General features: G+C 40.4%; 1 protein-coding gene across 4 annotated transcripts in view, besides 3 other annotated features; it reads left to right on the top strand.

Annotated features, from left to right (window-relative positions):
- Nucleotides 4,454-4,613: a silencer, noted in NCBI's record as "silent region_11876". NCBI's record gives its function as "represses an Ori minimal core promoter by ATAC-STARR-seq in GM12878 lymphoblastoid cells {active_cell/tissue: GM12878}" and the evidence as "EXISTENCE:reporter gene assay evidence [ECO:0000049][PMID:35858748]".
- CKAP2L (cytoskeleton associated protein 2 like) overlaps nucleotides 4,833-26,254 on the top strand; it is a 28,261-nt gene continuing 6,839 nt past the window's right edge. The window contains exons 1-7 of one of the 4 annotated variants that reach the window (NR_130712.2): nucleotides 4,833-4,880; nucleotides 6,873-6,939; nucleotides 8,678-8,729; nucleotides 12,228-12,549; nucleotides 13,308-13,465; nucleotides 16,968-17,175; nucleotides 22,867-23,022. Coding sequence is in view for 3 of the 4 variants with exons in the window: in NM_152515.5 (NP_689728.3) it covers nucleotides 4,844-4,880; nucleotides 6,873-6,939; nucleotides 8,678-8,729; nucleotides 12,228-13,465; nucleotides 16,968-17,175; nucleotides 22,867-23,022 (1,758 nt within the window). In the remaining variant the exon portion in view is untranslated. Of the gene's footprint in view, nucleotides 4,881-6,872; nucleotides 6,940-8,677; nucleotides 8,730-12,227; nucleotides 13,466-16,967; nucleotides 17,176-22,866; nucleotides 23,023-26,254 lie in introns of all 4 variants that reach the window. The other 3 variants (NM_001304361.2, NM_152515.5, XM_011510666.3) reach the window with 3 other exon arrangements.
- Nucleotides 5,064-5,203: an enhancer, noted in NCBI's record as "active region_16399". NCBI's record gives its function as "activates an Ori minimal core promoter by ATAC-STARR-seq in GM12878 lymphoblastoid cells {active_cell/tissue: GM12878}" and the evidence as "EXISTENCE:reporter gene assay evidence [ECO:0000049][PMID:35858748]".
- Nucleotides 19,388-19,437: an enhancer, noted in NCBI's record as "active region_16398". NCBI's record gives its function as "activates an Ori minimal core promoter by ATAC-STARR-seq in GM12878 lymphoblastoid cells {active_cell/tissue: GM12878}" and the evidence as "EXISTENCE:reporter gene assay evidence [ECO:0000049][PMID:35858748]".

Here is a 26,254-nt window from a genome sequence, read left to right as displayed (position 1 = left end):
TCCCAGGCTGGTCTCAAATGCCTGGCTTCAAGCAATCCTGCCACCTTGGCTTCCCAAAGTGCTGGGATTACAAGCATGAACCACCGTACCCAGCCTGTATTTTGATTTTTACCATTGCATTTAGCAAAGTCTCTACTGATATTGTGGTAGACAAGGCAGAGACATATGGGCTATAAGAGCTAGTAGTATTATTGAATGGGCTTGTGGCTACTTATATATAGTGTGGTTACTGTATTGAAGGGATCTTTAAAAGGAGAAAGCCCTATTCATTCAAAAGACATTAATTTAGTTTCTATTTGGTGCCAAGAACAATGAATATAGTGGCCTACCCTCAGTTTACAGACTAGCAGGGAGAAAGATAAGCAAATAATCAAGCTAATCACAATCCTTGAGAAAGGGATGTTTTGTCTGAGACTGAAGGATGGTTAAGAGTCAACAAAGAGACTAGCCTGGCCAACATGGTGAAACCCCGTCTCTACTCAAAATACAAAGAAAAAAATTAGCTGGGAATGGTGGCAGGTGCGTGTAATCCCAGCTACTTGGGAGGCTGAGGCACCAGAATCACTTGAACACAGGAGGTGGAAGTTGCAGTGAGCTGAGATCACACCACTGTATTCCAGCTGGGAAACAGAGTGAGGCTCCATCTCAAAAAAAAAGGAAGAAGACAACTGACCCAATTTAAAAATTGGCAAAGACTCTGAATAGAGATATACAAATGGCCAGTAAACACATAAAAAGATGCTTAACATCATTAGTCATCAAGGAAATACAAATAAAAACCACAATGTGATACCATTTCACAACCACTAGGATGGTTGTAATTTAAAAGATGGACAATAACAAGTGTTGTTGAGGATGTAAAGAAACTGGAACTTTCATACACTGCTGGTAGGAATGTAAAATGCTGCAGCTGCTTTGGAAAACAGTCTGGCAGTTCCTCAAATGGTTAAAGATAGAATTATCGTATGACACAGTAATTCCTCTCATTAGGTATATACCCATGAGTGTTGAAAACATATGTCTACACAAAAACTTATACATGAAAGTTCATAACAGCATTATTCATAATAGCCAAAAAGTGGAAAGAACCTAGATGTCCATCAACTGATGAATGGCAAATAAAATATTGTATATCCGCACAATAGAATACCCAGTCATAAAAGAATGAAGTACTGACACATGCTATGTGGATAAACCTTGAAAACAGCATACTAAGTGAAAGTGAAACTTAACCAATAGTCCCATAGACTGTTCTTTCGGATAAACATAGAAATTGACGCTTCTGGTCTTAAAGCTGGAAGCTTGTATTTGTTTTGTTTGAGTTCCTTCCTGGGGAAAAGACTTCAGGCCTCTCAAAAAAAGTATCAAAGAACTGAAACTCGCCAGATCACCACATCCAGGCAATGAGACTTTGGACCACTCATTCATCAGGATTGCTTCCTTGCCCCTCCCTGGTTCCTGTTTTCTTACGCATTGTTACATTTCTTCCCTGCTATCCAAACCCCTGGTTTTAGGTCAGGGAGATGGATTTGAGATTGAGCCCCCATCTCCTCAGCTGCAGCACCTGACTAAAGCCTTCTTCCTTGGCAATACTTGTCATCTCAGTGGCTGGCTTTCTGTGCAGCGAGCAGCAGGACCTAGATCAAACCCATGATATTTTGGTAACAAAAGAAGCCCATCAGAGACCACAAATTGCATAATTTCATACATATGAAATGTCCAGAAGGCAAATCTATAGAGATGGATAGTAGATTCATGGTTTCTAGGGGCTGAGAGGAGGGGAGAATGGGGAGTGACTGCTAATGAGTATAGGGTTTCTTTAGGGGGTGATGAAAATGTTAGAAAATTGAATTGTACACTGTAAGTGGGAGAATCGTACGGTATGTAAATATCTCAATAAGGCTGCTAGAGTAAAAATAATAATAATCAACTAGAGAAATGAGAAAGAAAGGTTGGATTCCCAGACAGAGAGGAGTATGGAAAGGAAAAAACAAAGTGTCTGGATAACACTGAGCAAGGGGAGAGTAGTGTGGGCTAAGGCTAAGGGAGGTGGCTAATGCTGAGGGAGTAAAAGGCCAAGCCCGCAGGGGCTTATAGGTCATTAGCCTGAGAGCAATGGAAAACCGTTAAAAGCCACCAGGATTGTCCTGGTGTGGTGGCTCACACCTGTAATCCCAACACTTTAGGAGATGGAGGCAGATGGATCGCTTGAGCCAGGAGTTCAAGACCAACCTGGGGCAACATGGCAAAACCCCATCTCTACAAAAAATACAAAAATTACCCAGATGGGTGACTGAAGTGGGATGATCGCTTAAGCCAGAGAGGTGGGGGCTGCAGTGAGCTGAGATCATGCCACTGCACTCTAGCCGGGCAATGGAGCCAGATCCTTCTAAAAAAAACAACACCAGGATCATGGAAAGCTACAGTGGATACTTTGATGAATGAGTTAAGAATTTAATTTATTTATTTATTTGGAGACAGGGTCTTGCTCTGCCTCCCATGCTGGAGTGCGGTGGCATGACCACAGTGCACTGCAGCCTTCAACTTTTGGGCTCAAGTGATCCTCCCACCTCAGCCTCCTGAGTAGAAGGGACTACAGGTGTGTGCCACCATGCCTGGTTAATTTTTGTAATTTTTTTTTTTTTTTTAAGAAACGAGGTCTTGCTATGTTGCCCAGTCTGGTCTCAAACTCCTAGGCTCAAGCAATCCTCTTGCCTCAGCTTCACAAAGTGCTGGGATTGATTACAGACATAAGCCACCATGCTTGGTAGAGTTGAGAATTTTTAAACCTGCCTAGCTATTTTCCCACATTTTGTGTCCTACAAAATAGACCGTCAAATACCCAAAGGATGGAAAAAAACGAGGCAGAACTGGCCTATGTTGCTCCAAAGGACTAGGACCAGTAAGCAAGGAAGCTCATTTGAGTTCATTTTAAGTTTCCTAATAAGCAGGGGTCTCCAATAACAGGACAGGTAAGGCAGCTCACCAACACCAGCAGTATACCTGCAAAGGTGCAGTACCTACATGGGGTCTGTGGAATACTCCAGCACTGCGTGGGATATCAGGCAAGGTGACTTCTACAACTGACATGCATTCAACCACCTAGATTCTACAAAGACCAAAACAAAACCGCCTTCACTTTTCTGAAACTGTTGGTGAAGGAGTCCCTTTCTCAGTCATTAACAAAAATAATGATCAGTTTTCCTATTTTAAACATTTAATACACTATTGAAAATATCAAAATGCATAAATCCAGAAACCCTGGCTCTCTTCCAAACTCCCTATTTACGGCTAAAGAGAAGGGCTGCTGCAGTGGCTTCATGCCCTGCTGAGTACCCAACTGGTAAGCTGAACCTGGCCAACAGGTGCCCAGATATGACTGCCCCTCCACACACGACTTCTCCAGCATCCATGGAAGAGGAACCTTCATACACAAGGAGCCAAAAGCATTTTCCAGACCTCTTTAAGAAACTGGAGAATAGATGAAACAGGACAAACTTCAAAAGAAAAAAAATTTAGGATTAAAACAAGGGGAATGAAGTGTGTCTAGGGATTCAGGACAACGAGGCCTGCGATCTCCTAGTAACTAGGAGAAACTAGGCCTGCGTTTCTCCGTTAGCCTTATGGCCTTATAGTCAGCTGATCAGGTGAAATCGAAAATATACCTTGAACAAGAGATCACCGTGAGAGGAGTAAGGCAGTTTCTCAAAAAATTAAAAATAGAATTGCCGTTTGATCCAACAATACCACTTCGTGGTATATACCCAAAAGAATGAAAAGGAGAGTCTCAAAGAGTTATTTGTGCATTCATGTTCATATTATTATTCACAATAGCCAAAAAGTGGAAGCAACTCAAGTGTCCGGAGAGGGATGGACCAAGAAGCAAAATGTGGCATCTCCACACAACGAAATGCTATTCCCCCTTAAAAGGAAAGGAAATTCTGACACATGCTACACATGGATGAACCTTGAATACTTTATGCTAAGTGAAACAAGCCAGTCACAGAACAAATACTGCATGATTCTACTTATATGGCACCTACAGTTGTCAAATCCATAGAGACAGAAACTAGAATGGTGATTGCCTGGGGCTGGGGGAGGGAGGAGTGCGGAGTTAGTGACGGGTACAGGGTTTCATTTGGGAAGATGAAAAAGTTCTGGAAAGGACAGTAGTGGTGGCTGTGCCACAATGTGAGGGTACTTAATACCACTAAACTGCACATTTTTGAAAAATTTAACACTTTAAAATGGTTAAAATGGTATATGTGATGTTATGCATATTTTACCACAATTAAACGAGCCACCCTGCAGTACTAAGAACTAGGAGCCTTTAGATGCATAAGACCCATATGTCCTCTTTATAATATTATTTTTTCACAGCTCCTGTGAGTCTGAGACTTTGAAAGGACAGAATCAGGTAGCGGCCCCAGCATCCTGGGAGGACCGCCCTGTCTCTCCGCCCAGGGACTCCCGGCGCGCCAACCCCAGCTGGATTCAGCGTAACCGCCCCCCAACCACCAGCCCGGCTGAGGCCCCCACGGAGGGTCCCACGCCCACTCGGAGGCGCACTCACAGGCGCACTCAGAGGCGGGCGGCGCCGCGCCCCGAGGAAGCCGCCCTCAATGCCGAGGTGCGCTGCACGTTCTTCCAATCAAAGGGCCCCAAGGTCGGGTTCTCAAGGCCAGAGCCAACCGCAAAGAGCCTATTGCCTGTTGTCCCGCCCTCCCGTGCTGACGACTAGCGAGTTTCAAACCCGCAGGAGCCAATGAGGACGCGTGGACGCGCGGCACGCCGGTCCTGGCTACAGGCGCGGCGTTTGAAGAAAAACTGTCACTGAAGAGTCATGGTGGGGCCCGGGCCTACCGCTGCTGCCGCTGTCGGTGAGTACGACCGCTGTTCCCGTTATTCTCAGGCGTTGGAACACGGCCGGGGAAGTAGGAGGCCACCGAGTGAGTTCGTCCCGCGGGAGGTGCCCGTCCGCTCGCCTGCCTAAGTTTCCCCTGGGCGTTTTCCATCCCGGGAGCGCAGACGGGACCCCCAGGTAGACGTCTGGGTCCTGGGCGGGGGAGGCTGTGCGCAGGCCCAGATACCTCACGGGCGTATTTCCAGAAAGCCCTGCAGCAGCCTTGCAAAGAGATGTCATTGTCACCACGTTCCGGATAAAGAAACTGAGGCCCCTTGCTCGGGTTTTCACCAGCAGTGGGAAGCTGCGCGCTGTTTTGATCCACATTTGGCTCCAGGCAGAGCCGGGCGTGGTCCTCTGTGCCAGGAGGCGGGGTCTGGCCGAAGCCCGGGTCTCCTGCCTCTGGCGGGGCTCTCACTCCACACCTCTCAGCCTGCGGTGGTTAGAAGTTGATTGGTTAAATCTGCACCCAGGGCTAAGGCTTCTGCGTTCCCTAATCTCTTAGATGTGCTTGGAGCCCTTTCCTACCTTTCAAAATACTCCTGCTCAGATGCCACTTTCTCCAAGATACGCACCGTTGTTTTGTTTCATCCATTATTCCTGTTGATGCCTACGAGGTCCTAGGCACTTTACATAACAAGCTTTAAAGATGGCATTTCTGTCCGCCTTATAGGCTTAGCAGCAGCAAAGTTTGCTAATTTGCTAGAAGTCACGGAGGTGGGACTCCAACCCCCTATGTCAGCCCCTACGCTCTACATTGCCCGCCAAGCTGTCTCTAAGGATAGATACATGAGCATCAGAGAGCAAAACAGGGCAACTCCGTTCAGATGAGGTTAAGAGTCGTTTGGCACCCCTGTCGTCTTTTTGTCTTCCTTCACATCATTATTTACTTTTAACCTTTTCTAGCCACCTACTCCCCTCATTTATGCCCTACCTCTGAACTCCCATACTTCTTTTCGTCTCTTATGGCCCTTAGATTTTACCTTATACTGTAATTGTTGCTGTGTTGATTTTATCTCCACTACTAGTTTGAAAGTTCTTGAAGGCAGAAATTATTGACTTGTCATCCCCTCACAAATGGCTTGCGTAGAAAGTCACCATAGTATAGGTGTCTGCCGTGAGCAGACCGGGCGTATTTTATCCTTAGTACCAACAAAGGAAGCCATATAAGGGTTTGTGGGTAAAAATCATCATCCCTGTAAAAAAACAAAAGACGTAAGACCAGGCCTGGCTCACCAGCTCAGGTGGGCCAGTAACAGAAATTCTTCAAAACAGACTGTTGTAGCTGAGAACAGTGGCTGTGAGCTCCAGGGTTAGAAAAGCCTGTTTTCAAGTCCTGGAATTGCCACATATTAGCTGGGTAACTTTGGGCATGACATTTACTCTCTCTGAATTTCAGATTGCAAAAACTCATTGGATTGTTTTGTGGATTGAAAGCAATAATGTAAATTTAGGCCGAGTGCTTTGACTTACGCCTGTAATCCTAGCACTTTGGGAGGCCAAAGCAGGAGGGTCACTTGAGCTCAGGAATTTGAGACCACCCCTGGCAACATAGTGAGATCCTGTCTCTACAAAAAATTTTTTTAAAATTATCCAGCATGGTGGTACACGCCTGTATTCCCAGCTACTCAGGAGACTGAGGTGTGAGGATTGCTAGAACCTGGGAGATCAAGTCAACAGTGAGCCGTGGTTGTGCCACTGCCCTCCAACCTCAGTGACAGAGGAAGACCCTGTCTCAAAAAAAAAAAAAAAAGTAGTAAGTTTAAAGAACTTAGTGTAGGCCTGGCATATAAATGATATTGTTGATGTTGATGTTAGCTTGAAGGCACATTTATAGGACTAGGGATTTTATAACATTATGTTGCAAAGGCAAAATCACTAGAGAAAAGTGTCATCTTTTAGAATATTAATGAACTGGTTAAAATCTTGAACTAAAGTTATGTCGTTTGTTTGCTTGCCTGTGTTGCAGAAGAGCGGCAGAGAAAGCTTCAGGAGTACCTTGCAGCCAAGGGAAAACTGAAGAGCCAAAACACCAAGTGAGTTTATCTGTCCACAGTTACGCAAGTTTTGTTGCCTTCTTTGTACTAGCAATTTAAAGCCTTTTTGAAAAATGTCCCTTTTGCTTAGAGTCTACTCAGACTGCACTGGGATTCTATGATAACGCAAAAAGAGCATTTCAGTCCAGGCATGACAAAAACCCCTGGGCAGTGCTTAGTCCATTGGCAAAGCTTTATGCATTATTACTGTGTGAATCTCCAAAGGAAGGAGGGAAGAAGGGTCAGTATTACCTACCATGCTGGAAGCTTTGCCTGTTTCTGCTTTTTTTTTCTTGGGGAAGTTGATTCTCATGAAGGCAGTTTTTGGTCAAGAACTTGAATGACCATGGTTCTGGCATTTCTTGCTAAGGCAGGAGAGCCAGTTACAATCAATCCTCCGTAGCAGAGTGATACCCTCTGCTCTTGGGTCATTCTCTTAGCATTTACTGTTAAGGTAGACAGAACATGTCCACTTCATTTTTATCCTTTGTAGATTCTTACCATCTTTGTCGTGTTATTTGTCCTTTCTTAGCATTAATTAATTTTTTCCCCATTTGAGTTGCTAAGTATTTATTTGAAAATTAATTTTTACAAAGTTAGCTTTCACCCTTTATTTTATCTTGGGTGTTTACTCACCTCTATTTCCTTGATTAAATGAACCTAATTCACTTATTCAACAAATATTTATTTAGTACCTATAACATCTCAGTCACTTCTGATGCTAGAGATAATGGCGCTTAACAAGACAGACATTCCTGCCCTCCCAGGGCTTATGCTGTAGATGGGAGAGACAAACATCAAACAAGTCATAATCAAAGTCCTTGTTAGTCTAGCAATTGTTTTTGGTCCATGCAGATTGATTCCTTCTAAATTCACCTCTGTTTTCCAATCCTTTTTCTGCATTTCCTGTCTCACTAGCTATATTTCATGTGTGTCTTGGTTTTTTTTTTTTTAATATTTCTTTACCCCCTTAAAGTTAGAAGAGATAGTATTTGAAGATACTGAAAACAAGGAAATTTTTTTTTTTTTTTTTTTTTTTTTTGAGACGGAGTCTCACTCTGTTGCCCAGGCTGGAGTGCAGTGGCGCAATCTTGGCTCACTGCAAGCTCTGCCTCCCAGTTTCACGCCATTTTCCTGCCTCAGCCTCCCGAGTAGCTGGGACAACAGGCATGTGCCACCATGCCCAGCTAATTTTTTTGTATTTTTAGTAGCGATGGGGTTTCACTGTGTTAGCCAGGATGGTCTCTATTTCCTGATCTCATGATCCGCCTGCCTTGGCCTCCCAAAGTGCTGGGATTACAGGCGTGAGCCACTACGCCCAGCCGGAAATTTTTTAAAGAAGCAGTTAATGGTTTTATTTGGCATTGTGTCTTCGGTGTCTGGCACATTGCAGTGCTCCAGGAATGATGTGTGAATGAGTAAGACTATATAAATATGAAGGAAACACATATATCTCATTAATATTGTGAGAATGCTAGATTTATGTATAGACAGTCTCTGTAAGGATCACAAGGCAAAAAAAAAAAGAGTAGGAGCAGTTGGTGGTCTCCAAGGGGGAGGATACAGAACTAAAGAAATGATGATAAGGAGACTTTATTAAATATAATTTTGAATTATTTTGCCATTACAGAAATTCTAATTATTTAAAATTCTATTCATAATTTTTAATCACTGTACTTCCCAAGCTTAGCTTAGAATCCTTCTGTGCTGAGGATTAATTTTAATTTGTCTTTTATAGGCCTTATCTAAAATCCAAGAATAATTGCCAGAATCAACCACCTTCTAAATCTGTAAGTAGAAATTAGTCTTTTTAAAAATATGCATTCATAAGTATGATTAGTAATAAAAATAATAAAGATGTTAGCAACCTAAAGAACATGTATTTGAAAGGTATTTCTTACAGATATAAAAACAGTTTGGTTTAATAAGAGACAATCATTTTTTGAAAAGTATGACATTTTTTGAAAAGTAGTTTAGTTTTATTAACCAAGAAAAGCCTCAAGTGAACTTTAGTCCTCTTGATAGCTAACATTTATTGAATGCTTACTGTGTGCCTGATACTTTTCTGACTTGCATTACCTCACTGAGTCCTCACAATCTTATGAGGCTACTATTAGTAGCCCCACTTTACAGATAAGCAAACTAAGTCACAGAAAGGTTAAATAGGTCGTATAGCTATTAAGTGACAAAGCTGAGAGCCTGTGATCTTAACCACTTTGGTATGCTGCCATGAAGTTAAATAGCTCAGTAGTCATTAAAAGAGAACATTTGCATTGAACCTTCCAAGCCACTTAACAAGTATATGCTTCCTAATCAATTTAATTTAGCTACATTAGATAGAATGGTAAAGGATCCTTAACTTAAAGTTTAAATGGAAGAAATTAGCCCTCTGAAAGAGGCACAGATTATTCATCTGCAATAAAAATCTCACCTTTAGTTTTTTAAAACATAGTTTTTATCTGTGTTCTGAAATGTAACTAAAACAGTGCTTCCTGAAGTGAAAAATTCTCACTGGTGAGAATTTTAATAAGTTTTAATGATTCACCAAATCACTTCAGTCATATTTCAGTCATATGCATATGCATATATAGACATATAAGTTTTTATCTGTGTTCTGAAATGTAACTAAAATAGTGCTTCCTGAAGTGAAAAATTCTCACTGGTGAGAATTTTAATAAGTTTTAATGATTCACCAAATCACTTCAGTCATATTTCAGTCATATGCATATGCATATGTAGACATATATATGTTGTATGTATACATGACATCATTAGACACTGTGAAGGATAGCAAAATGTATATAAGGCAAAATTTATGAACAATGGTTTAACGTTTGGGAAGCACTGGGTTACACTTTTACTTTATGCAGATTGAACCAGTATAGTATGCAAGTCTTAAGGAAAAATCTACTGGAAAGGGCCCTCATTCAGACTTCCCAGAGGCTTCTCTGGAAGTTGACAATACTGACTTCAGTACATCAGCTCGTAAATGAGGATGATACCTACCTTATCTGCTTTACACAGTTGTAAAAGTAAAAAGTGAACTCAGGAAGGGAATTACAGAATTTAGGAGAAACTAAAAGCACGATGTAAATAATAGTCATCATTACAGTTATATAATGCTTGACAATTTATATAACACTTTCGATACATGACAACAATAACTAACACCCAGACATGTTTATATACATTACCTCACTCAGAACAACCATGTGAGGAAGTTGGCCATATGCTTTAATGTCCAAACCAGGACACTTTGAGAGTAAAAAGCAGTACTCTTTGACCAACAGGCATAAATCAAAACTATCTTGTGAAAACCGGGATATATGGCATCCTTCCTAGATAATAGATACTTTTACTATTATTAATTTTGCTGTGAATCTAAACCTGCTCTAAAAAAGTTAATTTTAAAAAGTAATGAAGTACTGATACATGCTACAACATGGGTAAATCTTGAAAACGTTATGCTAAGTGAAAGAAGCCAGACAGAAAAGGCCACATATTACATGATTCCATTTATATGACACATCTAAAATAGGCACATCTATAGACATACAGAGACAGAAAGTAGACTAGCGGTTGCCAAGAACTGCAGGGAGCAGAAAATGGGGAGTGACTGCCAACAAGTAAACCAAGTTTCTTTCTAGGGTGATGAATATGTTCTGGAATTAGACAGTGGTGATTGCTGTATAATAGTGTGGCTATACTAAAATCCACAGAAGTGTGCACTTACTAAAATGGTGAATTTTATGGTTTGTGGATTATATCAATTTGTTTTTAATATATAAGAAAGCAACTAAAAAAACACATTTGGAAGCTTTCATGCCAACGTCCCTCCACCTCTTCAGTAAGCAATGATGGAGAGATCCGAGGTGTATATAAATGTTGGTGCTCAAAGATTAATCCAGATATAGCCATTGTGGGTATACCATCCATCTCTCTGCCTCCCACTCCCAACTCCGCTGTTTCACTCCTAGTAACACCACACACACCGCTATCATCCAGAGTAGACATCTCTTTGCCCTCAATGCCAAATGGTTCTGGTTAGAAATCCTTTACATACTCGCCAAGTTTATGTAGTGATTCTTCACAATATTTGTCAAATCAAAAATAGAGTGGTAACTCTAGCATTCCCATATCTTACCCTGGAAACATATTCCATAAATCTCTGTGAAATTCTCCTTTCTGAGTAATTGCTTTCATGAGAGATGCTCAGGAATTCATAGTGGCTTGCCCAATTACTTACCATATGAATTCTAAACTCCCTTCCCTAGTTTTCAAAATTCTCTGTAATCGAGTCCTACCTTTCTTATCCAAACTTAAATCACATGACTAAACATTTGTTTATTATTAACATAGACTCTAACCTTAAAACCCTGTCCTGGCTGATTTTACAAATATGACTATTAAGATGTTACATGTTTATTGAGAGCTGTGGCAGCATATCTCAGGCCTCACATCATCTGCCACCTATCTCCTTGTCACTGATCTCCAGGGATGAGACAGAGGTTCTTGAGTGATACTGTGATGTTTACAAAGGCAGTGGTTTAAAAAACATATAGTGTGGCTATACAAAGTACTAGGAGAGATTTGTTGGGAGGTACCCTAACATAAGTTCATTATGTATGTATTTTTTCAGGGTTCTTTGGAGGGCACTTAGGATATAATAGGCATTCAACAACTACTGTTTGAGGCAAATTCATTTTTGAAAGAGCAAGTTTTGTATATTCACTGCATCTCTGCTTAATTCTGTCAAGCTAAAAGATTCTAATATACTTCTGATAGGAACTCAAGTTGTAAAAACTACCTGTTAGGACAGGTGTGGTGGCTCATACCTGTTATCCCAGCACTTTGGGAGGCCAAGGTGCGTGGATCACTGGAGGTCAGGACTTCAAGACCAACCTGGCCAATATGGTGAAACCCCAACTTTACTAAAAATACAAAAAAGTAGCCAGGTGTAGTGACATGCGCCTGTAGTCCAGCCACTTGCGAGGTTGGGGTGGGAGAATTGCTTCAACCCAGGAGGCAGAGGTTGCAATGAGCCAAGATTGCATCACTGCACACCAGACTGGGTGACAGAGCAAGATCCTGTCTCAAAAAAAAAAAAAAAAAAAAAACACAAAAACTACCTATTAGTGAGTCTTTCTTTACTTTCTGAGGATTCAACTTTCTTAGATGAAATTCTAAAAATGATTATTTTTTTTAGCATGTGTTAAACACAGTTATTATTTTAAAAACAATAAGATATGTTAAGGATTTTTTAATATGTATTTTCTTTGTTTTTTCAGACTATTAGACCCAAAAATGATGTTACCAACCATGTTGTTTTGCCTGTCAAACCTAAAAGGTCCATCAGCATTAAACTCCAGCCCAGACCACCTAATACTGCAGGGTCCCAGAAGCCGAAGTTGGAGCCACCAAAACTTCTGGGCAAAAGGCTGACTTCAGAATGTGTTTCTTCTAACCCATACTCTAAGCCTTCTAGCAAGAGTTTTCAACAGTGTGAAGCTGGATCGTCCACAACAGGAGAACTGTCAAGAAAACCTGTGGGGTCACTTAATATAGAGCAATTGAAAACTACAAAGCAGCAGTTAACAGATCAAGGAAATGGTAAATGTATAGACTTTATGAATAATATCCATGTTGAAAACGAATCTTTGGATAACTTTCTAAAAGAAACAAACAAAGAGAACTTGCTCGATATCTTAACAGAACCTGAGAGGAAGCCAGATCCTAAATTATATACCAGAAGTAAGCCAAAGACTGACTCTTATAATCAAACCAAGAACAGTTTAGTTCCTAAACAAGCCTTGGGCAAAAGTTCAGTTAATAGTGCTGTTCTGAAAGATAGGGTTAATAAACAATTTGTTGGAGAAACACAAAGCAGGACTTTCCCAGTAAAATCACAGCAACTCTCTAGAGGAGCAGATCTTGCAAGACCAGGAGTAAAACCCTCAAGGACGGTTCCCTCTCACTTTATTCGGACCCTTAGTAAAGTTCAGTCATCAAAGAAACCAGTAGTCAAGAACATCAAAGATATAAAGGTTAATAGGAGTCAATATGAAAGACCAAATGAAACTAAGATACGGTCATACCCTGTTACTGAACAGAGAGTGAAGCACACCAAACCCAGAACATACCCCAGTTTGCTTCAGGGTGAATATAACAACAGACATCCAAACATCAAGCAAGATCAGAAGTCCAGCCAAGTTTGTATACCTCAGACATCATGTGTACTGCAAAAGTCAAAAGCCATAAGCCAGAGGCCTAATTTGACAGTTGGCAGATTTAATTCAGCCATTCCAAGCACCCCTAGCATAAGACCAAATGGAACCAGTGGTAATAAACATAACAATAATGGCTTTCAGCAAAAAGCACAGACTTTGGACTCCAAGTTGAAAAAGGCTGTTCCCCAGAACCATTTTCTGAACAAGACAGCTCCCAAAACTCAAGCTGATGTCACAACCGTAAATGGGACCCAAACAAACCCAAATATTAAAAAGAAGGCAACAGCAGAGGATCGAAGGTACTTTGCTTTAATTCTAAGCTTTTGCAACTTAAGATGATTAGGCAAATTGACCATCAAGAAGACTAGGTCAGGAAATAGGCCATAAATAATGGCTCCTAAGTAATTTTTAACTACAGTCTGAAAAAAGATTTGAAGCAAATATAACAAATATTAAGACTTGACAGGGCTAGGTGGTACATACACATGTTATAAATCATTTTCTGTAATCGTATGTTTACAATAGCTTTTTTTTTTTCTTTTTAAGAAATTGAAACAGAATGGATGAGTAAGAAGTAGGGGGTGCAGATGTAGACACTCGTTCAATAAGTGCCGTGCTAGACTGAACAGCAATAGAGCAGATAAGTGAGTTCACATAGCTAGGAAGTGAGAAGATGGTAATCTCTTGTCAAGCAAACCAGTGGTTAAGTTCAGAAAAGTTACCAGGGAAGAACCAGAAACTTCCGTGAGTCTGAGTGGGCCAAGTTTTGGCCAGTAAGCTCAAGCAGGAGCAGTCAGTTCAAATACAGAGTTCAGATGGTAGAAATCAAGATCTTAGGCCGGGCACGCTGGCTCATGCCTGTAGTCCCAGCACTTTGGGAGGCCGAGGTGAGCGGATCACCTGAGGTCGGGAGTTCGAGACCAGCCTGACCAACATGGAGAAACCCTGTTTTTACTAAAAATACAAAATTAGCCAGGCGTGGAAATCAAGATCTCAGGTTGGTTAATATTAACATACATTGATTAAAACTGAGCCAGTGGATTTTGTACACTTTCTACCCAGGACCAAATGTAGTCTCATGAAGTGGGTGAGCCTCCCAGGAGAAGCACATATGTATACCTGCTTGAAGTAGAAAATAAGGAAATTTCTGACGAGTGAAGGGAGCATGTAAAATTAGATGGTTGCTAAAAAGTGTAGCAGGGTGAAGCAAGGTACAGCTTGGTACAGCCCTGAACACCACCACCAAGCTCCTTGCCCTCCTGAAGAGACAGTAAGTAAACAACTTAATTCAGGGTGCTATGATCAAGAGAGTAGGGCTGGAATGGCTGCTTTAGATAAAAGGATCAGTAGAAGTACTTTCAACAGCAATGTCTGAGCTGAGACCTAAGTCTGAGAAAAGACTGGTGACAAGAAGAAAAACAATCCTGAGCAGAAAGAGAAGTGAGTGCAGAGACCTTGAGGTGGTGAATAAGGAAGTCAGGGTCCCAGCCCTGGAGCTCAGCCTAGGTCAGACAACAGAGGATTGGTCATAAGACTGTGTTGCAGGTTGAACATGTTTGATTACAAAAGAGAAGGAGTCTAGAGAGGGAGAGATTCATTCACTCATTCTGTAGGTGTTTCTTCAGCACCTGCAGTGTGCCAGGCGCTAGGAGACACAGTGATGAGCACACAGTGAGTCTTTACCTTTCTGGAGCTAATTGTTTGGTGTATATATAGAAAGTACTAGAGAAACAAAATTATGGCATCGAGGTCCTAGGAGTAAGTTGCCTTTAGAAAGGGAAAGTTCACTCTTCGTTTATGATTAGAAGGAAGGCTAAGGAGATAGGGAAAATGCTAGGAACATGGAGGAAGCACATGCCAAATGTCTCACCTTGTATCATCAAGTAGGTGGTTGGAGTGAAGGTGAGGGGGCAGTATTTGGGGCTGAAATAATAAATATTGCATGGATGTTGCTCTGGAGTCAGAAATGAGAGTTAATAGCATTCATTCATTCAAAACTTAGTTATTGGCATTCTGGAAAAACCAAAACTATAAAGACAAAAAACGGATCAGTGATTGCCAGGAGGGGGGCGTTAGGGGTGAGACTGACTACCAAGGAGCATGAGGGAATTAGTGATAGTGTTGCAACCATCTTATAGCTTGATAATAGTCAGACTTAAATGACTTGATGCATTTGTCAAAACTCAGAATTGCACACTAAAAGGTGAATTTTACTGTGTGTTATTAAATACCTATGTGTGCTAGGCACTGTGCTGGGAACTGGACTGCCAAGGTTTCTGCCTTCATAGAGCTTACACTCTAGTGGAGGAGACAGAAAACCAACACATTGACTAAATAAGACACGGTAATTACAGGTAATTGCGTCTTCATGGAGGTGTCATTTGAGGGGAGGACTGAAGATGCAAGACCTTAAGGCAGGAATGAGTCTGGATCAAGAAACTTCAAGGAGGCAGGGTACAATGGTTCACGCCTGTAATCCCAGCACCTTGGGAGGCTGAAGTGGTCAGATCACTTGAGGTCAGGAGTTTGAGACCGGTTTAGCCAACATTGTGAAACCCCATCTCTACTAAAAATACAAAAATTAGCCGGGTGTGGTGGCACGCGCCTGTAATTGCAGCTACTTGGGAGGCTGAGGCACAAGAATCACTTGAACCCAGGAGGCGGAGGTTGCAGTGACCTGAGATCATGCCACTTCACTCCAGCCTGGGCAACAGAGCAAAACTGTCTCAAAAAAAAAAAAAAAAAAAAAGAAAAGAAACTTTAAGGATACCTGAGCTCCTGGAGGGGGTGAGTGACAGGGAGACTAGTGTGATACGAGGTTGGAGAGGTAGGCAGGAGCCAGATTACACTGTGCCTTTCTGCCTTGGAAAATATTTTGAATTTTATTCCAAGAGCTGTGGAAAGTTCTTGGCAGTGACACAGCCTGGGGTGCTATTTACCAAAGTAAGAAAAATTTGTAACAGATGCAGAGATGAAAATCAATAACTTTGTTTGTGACAGTATTAAATTTGAAATGCCTGTCAGACATCAAAAGATATCAACTAGGCGGTGGGTTTTACAAAGTTTGGGGATCCAGGGAGAGATCTGGACTGAAATGTACACTTGGAAGTCATTATTAATATGTAGTTGTAATTTAAAGAAACTGGAGTGTCTACATCCAAACATGAGGTCTATATGTCTTGGTGCCCCTACCCCCAAAAAGCAGTCTATCACCTGTTAGAAGCTGGAGTGGAAAATGTGAACAGTGGGGGACACTTGGCACTATCAGAGATCAGCTACTTAAGAGCCCTGACTTTATAGGTCTAGCTTATGAAAGAGTCATGTCTGGTCAAGAGAGGGCTAAGGAACTAGGTGAAGTGGGTCAGTTTACACACCAAGACCTTATTGAGGGTAGAATGCAGGCTTGGTGGGTTTGGGTTGAGTGACAGCTTATGCGTGAGAGAAATGAATTGCTGAGTTAGTCATCTCAAAAATAGAGGGATGTCTTAGGAAAGCAAGTGTCAAGTAGCATATAGTGAAGTGAAAACTTTCCGAGAAAAATAATGCATAATCACGAATTCTATTTGAAGTCTGAAGTGCTGGCCACGTGTGATCTTAGAATCTTGGTGTCTGCCTTCTCGTGGGTGGGCGCAACCCAATGCTGCCATTACCCATTTGTAAATTGTTTTTTAATTCCATTCTCCTGATTTTGTCTGTAGTTGAAAGTATTTAATTATACTCTATCTATACATATCATATACTTTAGCAGCTTGACTATGTTTAAAAATAAATAAAACCACTCTCCCTTTAATTGAATTTCAGGAAACAACTAGAAGAATGGCAGAAATCTAAGGGAAAAACCTATAAACGGCCTCCTATGGAACTTAAAACAAAAAGAAAAGTAATAAAGGAAATGAATATTTCATTCTGGAAGAGCATTGAAAAAGAAGAGGAAGAAAAGAAAGCACAACTCGAACTGTCCAGTAAAATTAACAACACTCTGACAGAATGTCTGAACCTCATCGAAGGGGTAAGTGAAGAAGATAAGCTCCTCCAGCTTTGGCCCAAAGTCTTATAATTTTTAAACATATTCCTAAATATAATATAGGAGAGATAGCCTTCATCTAAGTAGAAATTTAGCTACTCTTGTAAATACAGAGTAATAATAATAATGACATGCCCATAAACAGTGTCTTTTGTGTATCTGTGCTTTTATAAGCACTTAGCTAAGATTATCTCACATAATTATCATAACCACTGTTACTATGACCACTTTACAAACAAAACTGAGGCACAAAGAAGTTGGAAAACTAATCCAAACAAACTGGCTCCAAAAGGAACTTTGCTTTCTTTGGGTATCAAGTTCTGAAGAGTACACATTTAACATTGAAACTGAGGTCAGAAGGCAAGTTTCTGTGTAAAGTTGGAGTATTCTGAATACTCTGGGTAGCTACAAATAGTATTTAAATTTTATCTTGGATTCTGCAGATAAGGATAAAATAGATGGTAGGCAAAGAGTATGATCCTTAGGAGAAATTTTTCCTGAAGGAAAAATATATTAATAAAAAATGATGGAATAAACTTCTAAGATCCTTGCCTAGAGCAAAACTCATTCAGTCCTTTGGCTGGTAATGTTGAACATCAGCAAAAAAAAGGAAAAGTTCAGTTTAAGTCTACTCCAGGCAACATTTTCACAACATCCAGTTAAATATTAACTATTTCTCCTTGTGGAATTGAACTTGAGTTCTTTTTCTTATCCTCTTTTTTTGTTGTTGTATTATTTAAAAATGAGTACCTTTTTATTATTGAAATCATTTCAAGTAATGCAGATAAATGATCAGCCCTCTCCCTCTACAAACATACATACTTAGGCATCCCAAACTTCTCTCTGGAGGTGACCACCATTGCCAGTCATTCATTCTGTTTTCATGCATGTCCATACAGTATAGGTATGTCGAGAAATGAAGTATTATATTTTTGTGAGTTGCAATTCTTTTATTCACATTTTTGTGTACTTTGGTTGTCTTTTCTTGTGTTTTCCTAGTACCAATGTTATGCTGACTTAGGCAGATGAGTTGAGTATTTTCCTTTTTGCCCTATAAACTGAAAATAGTTTGTATGACATGAGAATTATTTTTATTTTTTGAAGGTTTGATAAAAACTTGCCCATAAAAATCATCTGGACCGTGTTTCTTTGGAGGATAATTTTGTATATATCCTCTCAATTTGTTATGGGGTCATTGTTCTAGAGTTCATATATCTTGAGTCAACTTTAGTAATTTTGTGACTTTTTAAAGGGATTTTTTCTCAATCTTTTTAAAAGATCTCAGGTTTTATTGCCAAAGATTTTTTCTCATTAATCTTTTTAAAAGACCTCAGGTTTTATTGATTATTTTTTCTCTTGCATCAATGTCTGCATCTATTTTTATATTTATTGCTCTTTTCCTAGCTTTTTAATTGAAACCTTAGATCATTTAAAAGTGAGTCTTTCTTTTTTTTTTTTTTATAAATATGTTCAGTGCTATAGCAGATTTGCCTCTGAATTTTACTTTGGTCATATCCCTCAGATTTGACTAAGTAATACTCTTTATCAGTCAGGATCAAGTCTGAAAAACAAACCACAGAAAGAATGTAATTGGTTACACAGTATCTTATGTGGGTTCTCTAGAGGTGGAGCCTAAGAGGAGAATCCATGTGAAAGTAGTTTATTAGGAAGACACTCCAGGGAAAACTGGGAGGGGAGTGAAGTTGTAGGATCAGAAAAGCGAATCCATGGACGGTGACTCTGGCACAGCCCCACAGGGGAGCTCTGGAGACAGTGTAGGTCACATCTCTCAGAGTCATCCTGATCAGAGGCAAGGGAGCTACATTGTTAAAGCTTCCATGGTCATTTATTCATGGCTGCCTCGGGCGGACAAGAATTGTCAGGCACTTCTCACTCTCTGGGCACATACGAGGGAGCACAGATGCTGGCTGTGAAAGCACGCGGTAAGCCTGTGTGCACAAGATGCTGAAGGGATCAGAAGGAGTGTGGGTGCTACACACAGGGCTGACAGCACACAGGAACCTGAGGTAATGTGATAACTGTAGGAAGCAGCTTGTACCCACTGGGTCTAGGAGAACAAAGAGAGGTTAGGGTATCAGAACCAAGAAGCAGGAGAGACAAACCCTGGTAGAAATGGGACTCCAACTGTAAGGAAGGCATACTACCCAGCAGATGATGGAGGAGAGGCCCTGCAGGGCTGGGGCTCAGATTTTGAGGAAAAGATGCTATCCATTTGGTGCTTCTGCTCTGAAGCTGCACAGGGAGGTGGGCTCTGAGGGGGAAAAAAAGATGCTAGAACCAACTGTTACTGCCAGGGTGAGGGACCGTTGCTGGGGTGATGAAAGCAAATAGGAAGAAGCAAGTGTCTTCCTTCTCCATCCCTGCAGCCTCCCTCTCGTGCCCCCTGCTGGCAGAGCTGAGCAGGGAGCTGCTGCCCAGCAGAAAGTTTTACAGAGTTTTATCCCCAGCATCACAAAGCAGAGGATGGGGTTTGGGGCCAATAGACAAAAGCTTCATAACTGACATATCTTGTCATTGTTCATTTCTAAATAGCTTGAGATTCCCATTTTGAGTTCTTTAACCCAAAAAATATCTTAGAAAAGTATCTTTTAATTTCCAGATGTGTAGATTTTTTTTTTCTGCTGTTAATTTCTAATTATATTGCATTGTAGTTGGTGAATGTGGCCTATGTGTACTCTACTTGATGGATTTTGTTGAAATTTTCTTTGTGGCCTTAATATCTGATCATTCTTGGTAAATGTTCCAAAAGTGTTTGAAAATAATGTATATCCTATTTGTTTATTTGATCTATTGCTTTCTGAAAGAAATATGCCAAAGTCTGTCACTGGCACTGTGATTAATCATTGACAATTTCTCTTCATATGTCTGTCAATTTTTACTTTCTATTTTTTAAAGTTATGTTGTTAGGTACAGAAAGATTCATGACTTGCTTTGATTTCTTTTGTCTGATTAATCTTGCCACACCTGCTTTTTGTTGTTAGAATATGTCTGGTAGCTCTGGTAGCTCTTTTTCCATCCCTTTACTTTAAGCCTTCATGGGCTGACTTATTTTAGGTATGTCTCATATAAATGCACACAGTTAAATGTTTTAAACAAATTTGAAACTCTCTGCTTTTAAAAAGCAAATTTAGTTCGTACACATTTATTATGATTACTTGTATGTTTAAACTTATGCCTGCTATTTTATTTTGTAATTCAGCTTACATGAATTATTTTTTCCTCATTTCTGTGTTTAATCTAGTTTTATTTCATAAAATAATACACTGAAATGAAAATAAAGTGATAGATGTAAGCTCAAACATGATTTGCAGAATATATATCATATTCTTCTTGCAGTTCCTTTTTTCATTTTTTTTTTTTTTTTAAGAGACAGGGTTTCACTCTTTTGCCTAGATTGGAGTGCAGTGATGCCATCATAGCTCACTGCAACTTTAAACCTCCTGGGTGGACCCAAGTGATCCTCCACCTCAGCCTCCTGAGTAGCTAGGACTACAGGTACACACCACTACACCCATTATAGTTTACATTTTTTTGTAGACACAGGGTCTCACTGTGTTGCCCAGGCTGGTCTCAAACTCCTAGCCTCAAGCAGTCCTCTGCCTCAGCTTCCCAAAGTGCTGGGATTACAGGTGTGAACCACCCACTGCACCTGGCCTGCAGTTACTTTTATTTCAAGTCTTTCATGTGAATTCTAAAGTTTACTCACTAGTGACTTTATGATTTTTGAATGGCAAACCTTTTGAGTCTGTATTCTTGTGAAACTTGTTATTTGCCTTCATGCTGGAATCATAGTTTGGCTGGGGGAAATTTCTTAATTTCAGCTTGTTTTCCCTGGAAAAATTTAAGTGACTGCTTCATTTTCTTTCTTGCATCTGGAGTTGTTGATTTGTTAATGTCTCACGTCAGTCTGATTCTCATTCCTTTATAGGTAATCCTTTTCTTCCCCCTCTCTGGAAGCTTGTACGATTTTCTTTTTATCTTTGGTTTTCTATTATATTTTTTTCTCCCATTCATCCTGCTTAACTATCTGAGAGCCTTTTCAACCTGAACAACTGTTTCTTTGTTCATTTCTTGAAATTCTTCTTCTACAACCACTTTGTGTGTTGAACTTTTTTCCTTCTAGAAACTCTCTTAGATGGATATTGGAGTTATTGAGTAATGGATATATCCTTCAGAACTCTAAATGTTGTTTTCATACTGTTCACTTCATTGTTTTATTACACTGGTTTCTAGGAGGATTTCACAGCTGAATTTTCAGCTCACAGATGTATTCTTCAGCGCTGTCCATGCAGTTGTTCTGCCTTTCTGTTGGTTATTTTTCATAACAGCCCATTCTAGTTTTAGGATAGCAATACTCTCTCTTATCACTCTGAAGATATTGACTGTGATACTCTTAAAAGTATTCCTCTTTGCTCCAGTGTTCATTCTTGTTTGTTGAGTTTTATGCCTCTTTCATGTAGTGTTGGTTTTCTCAAATGTTAGTGATTCTCAATTGTGAACTTACCTTTGCGTCTCCCCCATTTCTAGCAGTAGAAGGTGCTGCTTGGCTGAGTGTGCCAGTACCTGGATTTCTGGGCATGGTAGTGCTCCCCATTCGTTGGGTCCATGTCACTGTCCTGCTTACGGCACAAGCCAGAAGGGAACCAAACCAGTGAATCCATTTCAAATTATCTTTTTGTGGGATTTAACCCTCTTTCATAAACACCTGCATAAATCCCTGACACTTACACATATACACCCCTATGACCTTCGCATGCCTGTGTCATTCTTTACACTGCTATTAGTCCTATGGAAATTCTCATCACTACTCAGTGTTCTCGTTATTATAAATATGGAATATTATGAATATGTAAATGTTTACTCTAGGATTTGTTTTGTTTTTGTACCATGTAAAAATGAACATATTTCTTACCTTCAGCTATGATAAACATTTTCTATTTGGTCTCATATAACTCTTAAAATTTAATGATGAGGAAGCCAGGCTCAGTGGCTCATGCCTGTGGTCTCAGCTACTCGAGAGGCTAAGGTGGGAGGATTGCTTGATCCCAGGAGGTAGAGGTTGCAGCGAGTTGTGATCGTACCACTGCACTCCAGCCTGGGCAACAGAGTAAGACCTTGTCTCAAAAAAAAAAAGAAAAATTAAGCCAGGCATGGTGGCTCATGCCTGTAATCCCAGCACGTTAAGAGGCTGAGGTGGGCGGATCACGAGGTCAGGAGATCAAGACCATCCTGGCTAACACGGTGAAACCCCATCTCTACTAAAAATACAAAAAATTAGCCGAGCATGTGGTGGCATGTGCCTGTAGTCCCAGCTACTGGGGAGGCTGAGGCAGGAGACTTGCTTGAACCTGGGAGGTGGAGGTTGCAGTGAACCGAGATCGCGCCATTGCACTCCAGCCTGGACGACAGAGCAAGACTCCATCTCAAAAAAAAAATAATAATTATTATTAATCTCAAATCATTAAAATGGATAATTAAAACAGGTGCATTTTATTACATGTACATTGTACCTCAGTAAAATTGAAATTTTTTTAAAAGTTCAAAAATATTAGTGATCAAACCAATTTCTGCATACCTGCTGTAATAAATATTAGGAGATGTGAGACTAACAGTGAAATGGTAATAATTACCTCTGGATATTTTGGTTTATTTCAGGGTGTACCTTCTAATGAAATACTTAACATATTGTCCAGCATTCCTGAAGCTGAAAAATTTGCTAAATTCTGGATCTGCAAAGCAAAGTTGTTGGCAAGTAAAGGCACCTTTGATGTTATTGGGCTATATGAAGAGGCCATTAAAAATGGGGCAACAGTGAGTATCTGTCTTGGGTGGGTAACTTCTTAAAATTCTCTTTCATGTGAGTTCTCTGTTGTTGTTTGTAATATGATGGTTAGAAGTTTGCAACATCAATATCCAACACTTATAAAGTCATACCTTACCATAAAGAACTTAAAAATATATTAAACCCAATACGTCAGCATCCTTAAATCAATAATTCAGAGCCATTGCATGAAATAACTTTTAATTCTAAAATTTAGAAAAAAAAACTATATAATTATTATTTACAAAAACTGCATCAAATAGTTTTATAATGCTTTTCCTTAAAATGTCATTTTCCATGTCATGTTCTGTATTCTGTGTGATACCTTTTTCCATAATGGTTCAAAATCAGAATTGTACATGCACATAGTTTAAGCAGTCAAGTAGTTTGATAAGTTTCGTTCAGTAAGACCTCTGCCTTCCTTCCCTCCCATTTTCCCCTTCCTAGAGCAAACTGATTTATTTTTATATTAACCTCTATAGTTTCAGAAAACGTGTTTCTGTTTCTTGATTTTTCAGTTTTAGATATGATTTATGGACTTCCAGCTATGCAGAGTGAAGATTTAGCCCTCTTTCACACATACATACACAGATCCCCAGCACACACAAATACACACCCCTATTTACCATCCTTATAGACCTTTGCCATTCCTTATACTTTCATTAGAGTCATGGAAATTCTGGTCACTATTTAGCATTCACATTGTTATGAATATATAAGAAATATATGGGCTGGGCACGGTGTTTCACGCCTGTAATCCCAGCACTTGGGGAGGCCGAGGCAGGTGGATCACAAGGTCAGGAGATCGAGACCATTTTGGCTAACATGGTGAAACCCCATCTCTACTAAAAAATACAAAAAAGTTAGCCGGGCGTGGTGGCGGGCACCTGTAGTCCCAGCTACTCGGGAGGCTGAGGCAGGAGAATGGCATGAACCTGGGAGGCAGAGCTTGCAGTGAGCCGAGATCGGGCCACTGCACTCCAGCCTGGGCAACAGTGCAAGACTGTCTCAAAAAAAAAAAAAAATACATGAATATGTTGAGCCATGCAATATATACTATGATTACTTTGCCTTTCAAGCACAACTTTCTACTTTTCCTGGAGTTATTGTCTTGTTTTGCCTTTGCTTAGTTTTCTGAGTATTTATTATATAATTAATTCACAAACTCTTCGCTAATTGTCTAAGTTCCTCAATACTTTGAAAACATCAGATATTCTATTGATTCCTTTTTCTTAGATAAAGAGCTTTCTCCTAGACCCTTCTGGCTTATTCCAGACTGAACAAGTTACTTTTTACTGCCGTCTTCACCAGCTGTCTTTCTGGGATCTCTTTACCATCACCTTTAGATTCCCTTTACATCCTTCTTAAGTTGGGTGGATCCCTTGTTTTTAGAACCCATATTAGTTTTCTTCTTCCTACATTGTCTATTTCTTCTCCAATGTTTTTCATTTCTTTCTCTCTTGTTATTGTTTGTTTGTTCTTTTTGTTTTGTTCTCTATTATTCTTTAAAGGCTTTACACAGATGCTGGTGAAACTGGGCTGTTTGCACATATAAAAGGTGGGTCTGAAAAAGCTTATTTAAAGCCCGAGACACATGGATGGGGCTTCAACACAGGGTGATCTGGCTGAGTTGACTAGTTAGAAAACCCTCAATATCAGTATCTTTAGGTCTTTCCTCTTAAGCTGGTCAAGTTATCTGGAGAAATCTGTTCCAATCTCCTTCCTGGGAGCTAGACACCAGGCTGCCAGTGCTGTGGGAGAGAAGAGAGCAGGGAGTCTCAACCCTCAACATAGAAACTTTTGCTTATCTCCTTTTCTCAGAAAGCACCCTATCCTAATCTTGCATGATATCCCTCAGAGACTTGCAGAATACATTCCCAGTTTTCTGTTAGGATGAAGGGAGTCAGACACAGTTACTAGGCTGCATAGAGTTTAGGGGTGCAGGATGGATTTGGAGGTCTGACTGCTTTTTGAACAGATGCTAAAGAGTCCTCCTAATTTGGGCCCTACCACCCATTCCTTAGCCTTTCTGTCAGGTTGTTTCTTAGCCACACTGCCAGCTTGGGATTCAACTCTCTCAAGTAGATCAAATTGTTTACCTCTCTTCCTTCTGCACTGCAGCTTCCAAAACCTTATTGTCATTTCTTCTCTCCTATGTTTTGTGGTTATTGCCTCTTCTTAATCCCTTTATTATCCTTTCAGTCGATTTTCAAGAGAGATTAGAAATAAACGTATATTTAATCCACCATCATTAACCAGAAGGCTATACAAATATAAAATATGCTTGATGAATGTTGTATAGAATTCACTCTTTGTAATATATTCTATACATTTATTCCCATTCATTTAGCTGAAATCATAATTCTATTTTGGATTTTGAAAAAATGTACGGAAAGCTTTGCTTTTATGCTTTATTGTCAGTTTATATCTATTTGATACAGAGTTCCAGGTAAGGAAGACAAACCTCCAACTATAATTTTCTTGTGGGAAAGTGCAGCTTCTGCTTCATGGCATGGTTTACATACTTGAAAAATAAAGCCTATCTCAGATAATTTTATCAGAAAATTACTTTTCCATGAAGGTTTTTTTTTCTAAGTATGTTAACAAATAAAAGAAGAAAGACAGGAAAAGCTGGAGAAAATTACTCAAAATGCCTACAAAGATTGTATCTGGGCCAGGCACAGTGGCTTACCCCTGTAATCTCAGCACTTTGGGAGGCTGAGGCAGGCGGATCACTTGAGATCAGGAGTTTGAGACCAGCCTGGCCAACGTAGCGAAACCCCGTCTCTACTAAAAATAGAAAAATTAGCCAGATGGGGTGGCGCATGCCTGTAATCCCAGCTCTTCGGGAGGCTGAGGCAGGAGAATCACTTGAACCCTGGAAGTGGAGTTTGTGGTGAGCCGATACCGCACCATTGCACTCCAGCTTGGGTGACAGAGACTCCATCTCAAAAAACATTGTGTTTGGGGCCAGGTACAGTGGCTCACTCGTGTAATCCCAGCAGTTTGGGAGGCCGAGGCGGGTGGATCACGATGTCAGGAGATCGAGACCATCCTGGCTAACACGGTAAAACCCCATCTCTACTAAAAATACAAAAAATTAGCTGGGCGTGGTGGTGGGCGCCTGTAGTCCCAGCTACTTGGGAGGCTGAGGCAGGAGAATGGCATGAACCCAGGAGGCAGAGCTTGCAATGAGCCGAGATCGCGCCACTGCACTCCAGC

The sequence above is a fragment of the Homo sapiens genome, chromosome 2, assembly GCF_000001405.40.
Source record: "Homo sapiens chromosome 2, GRCh38.p14 Primary Assembly".
NCBI lineage: Eukaryota > Metazoa > Chordata > Mammalia > Primates > Hominidae > Homo > Homo sapiens.
The sequence above is the reverse complement of the archived record's forward strand: the minus strand, read 5'-3'. Positions and strand labels throughout refer to the sequence as shown.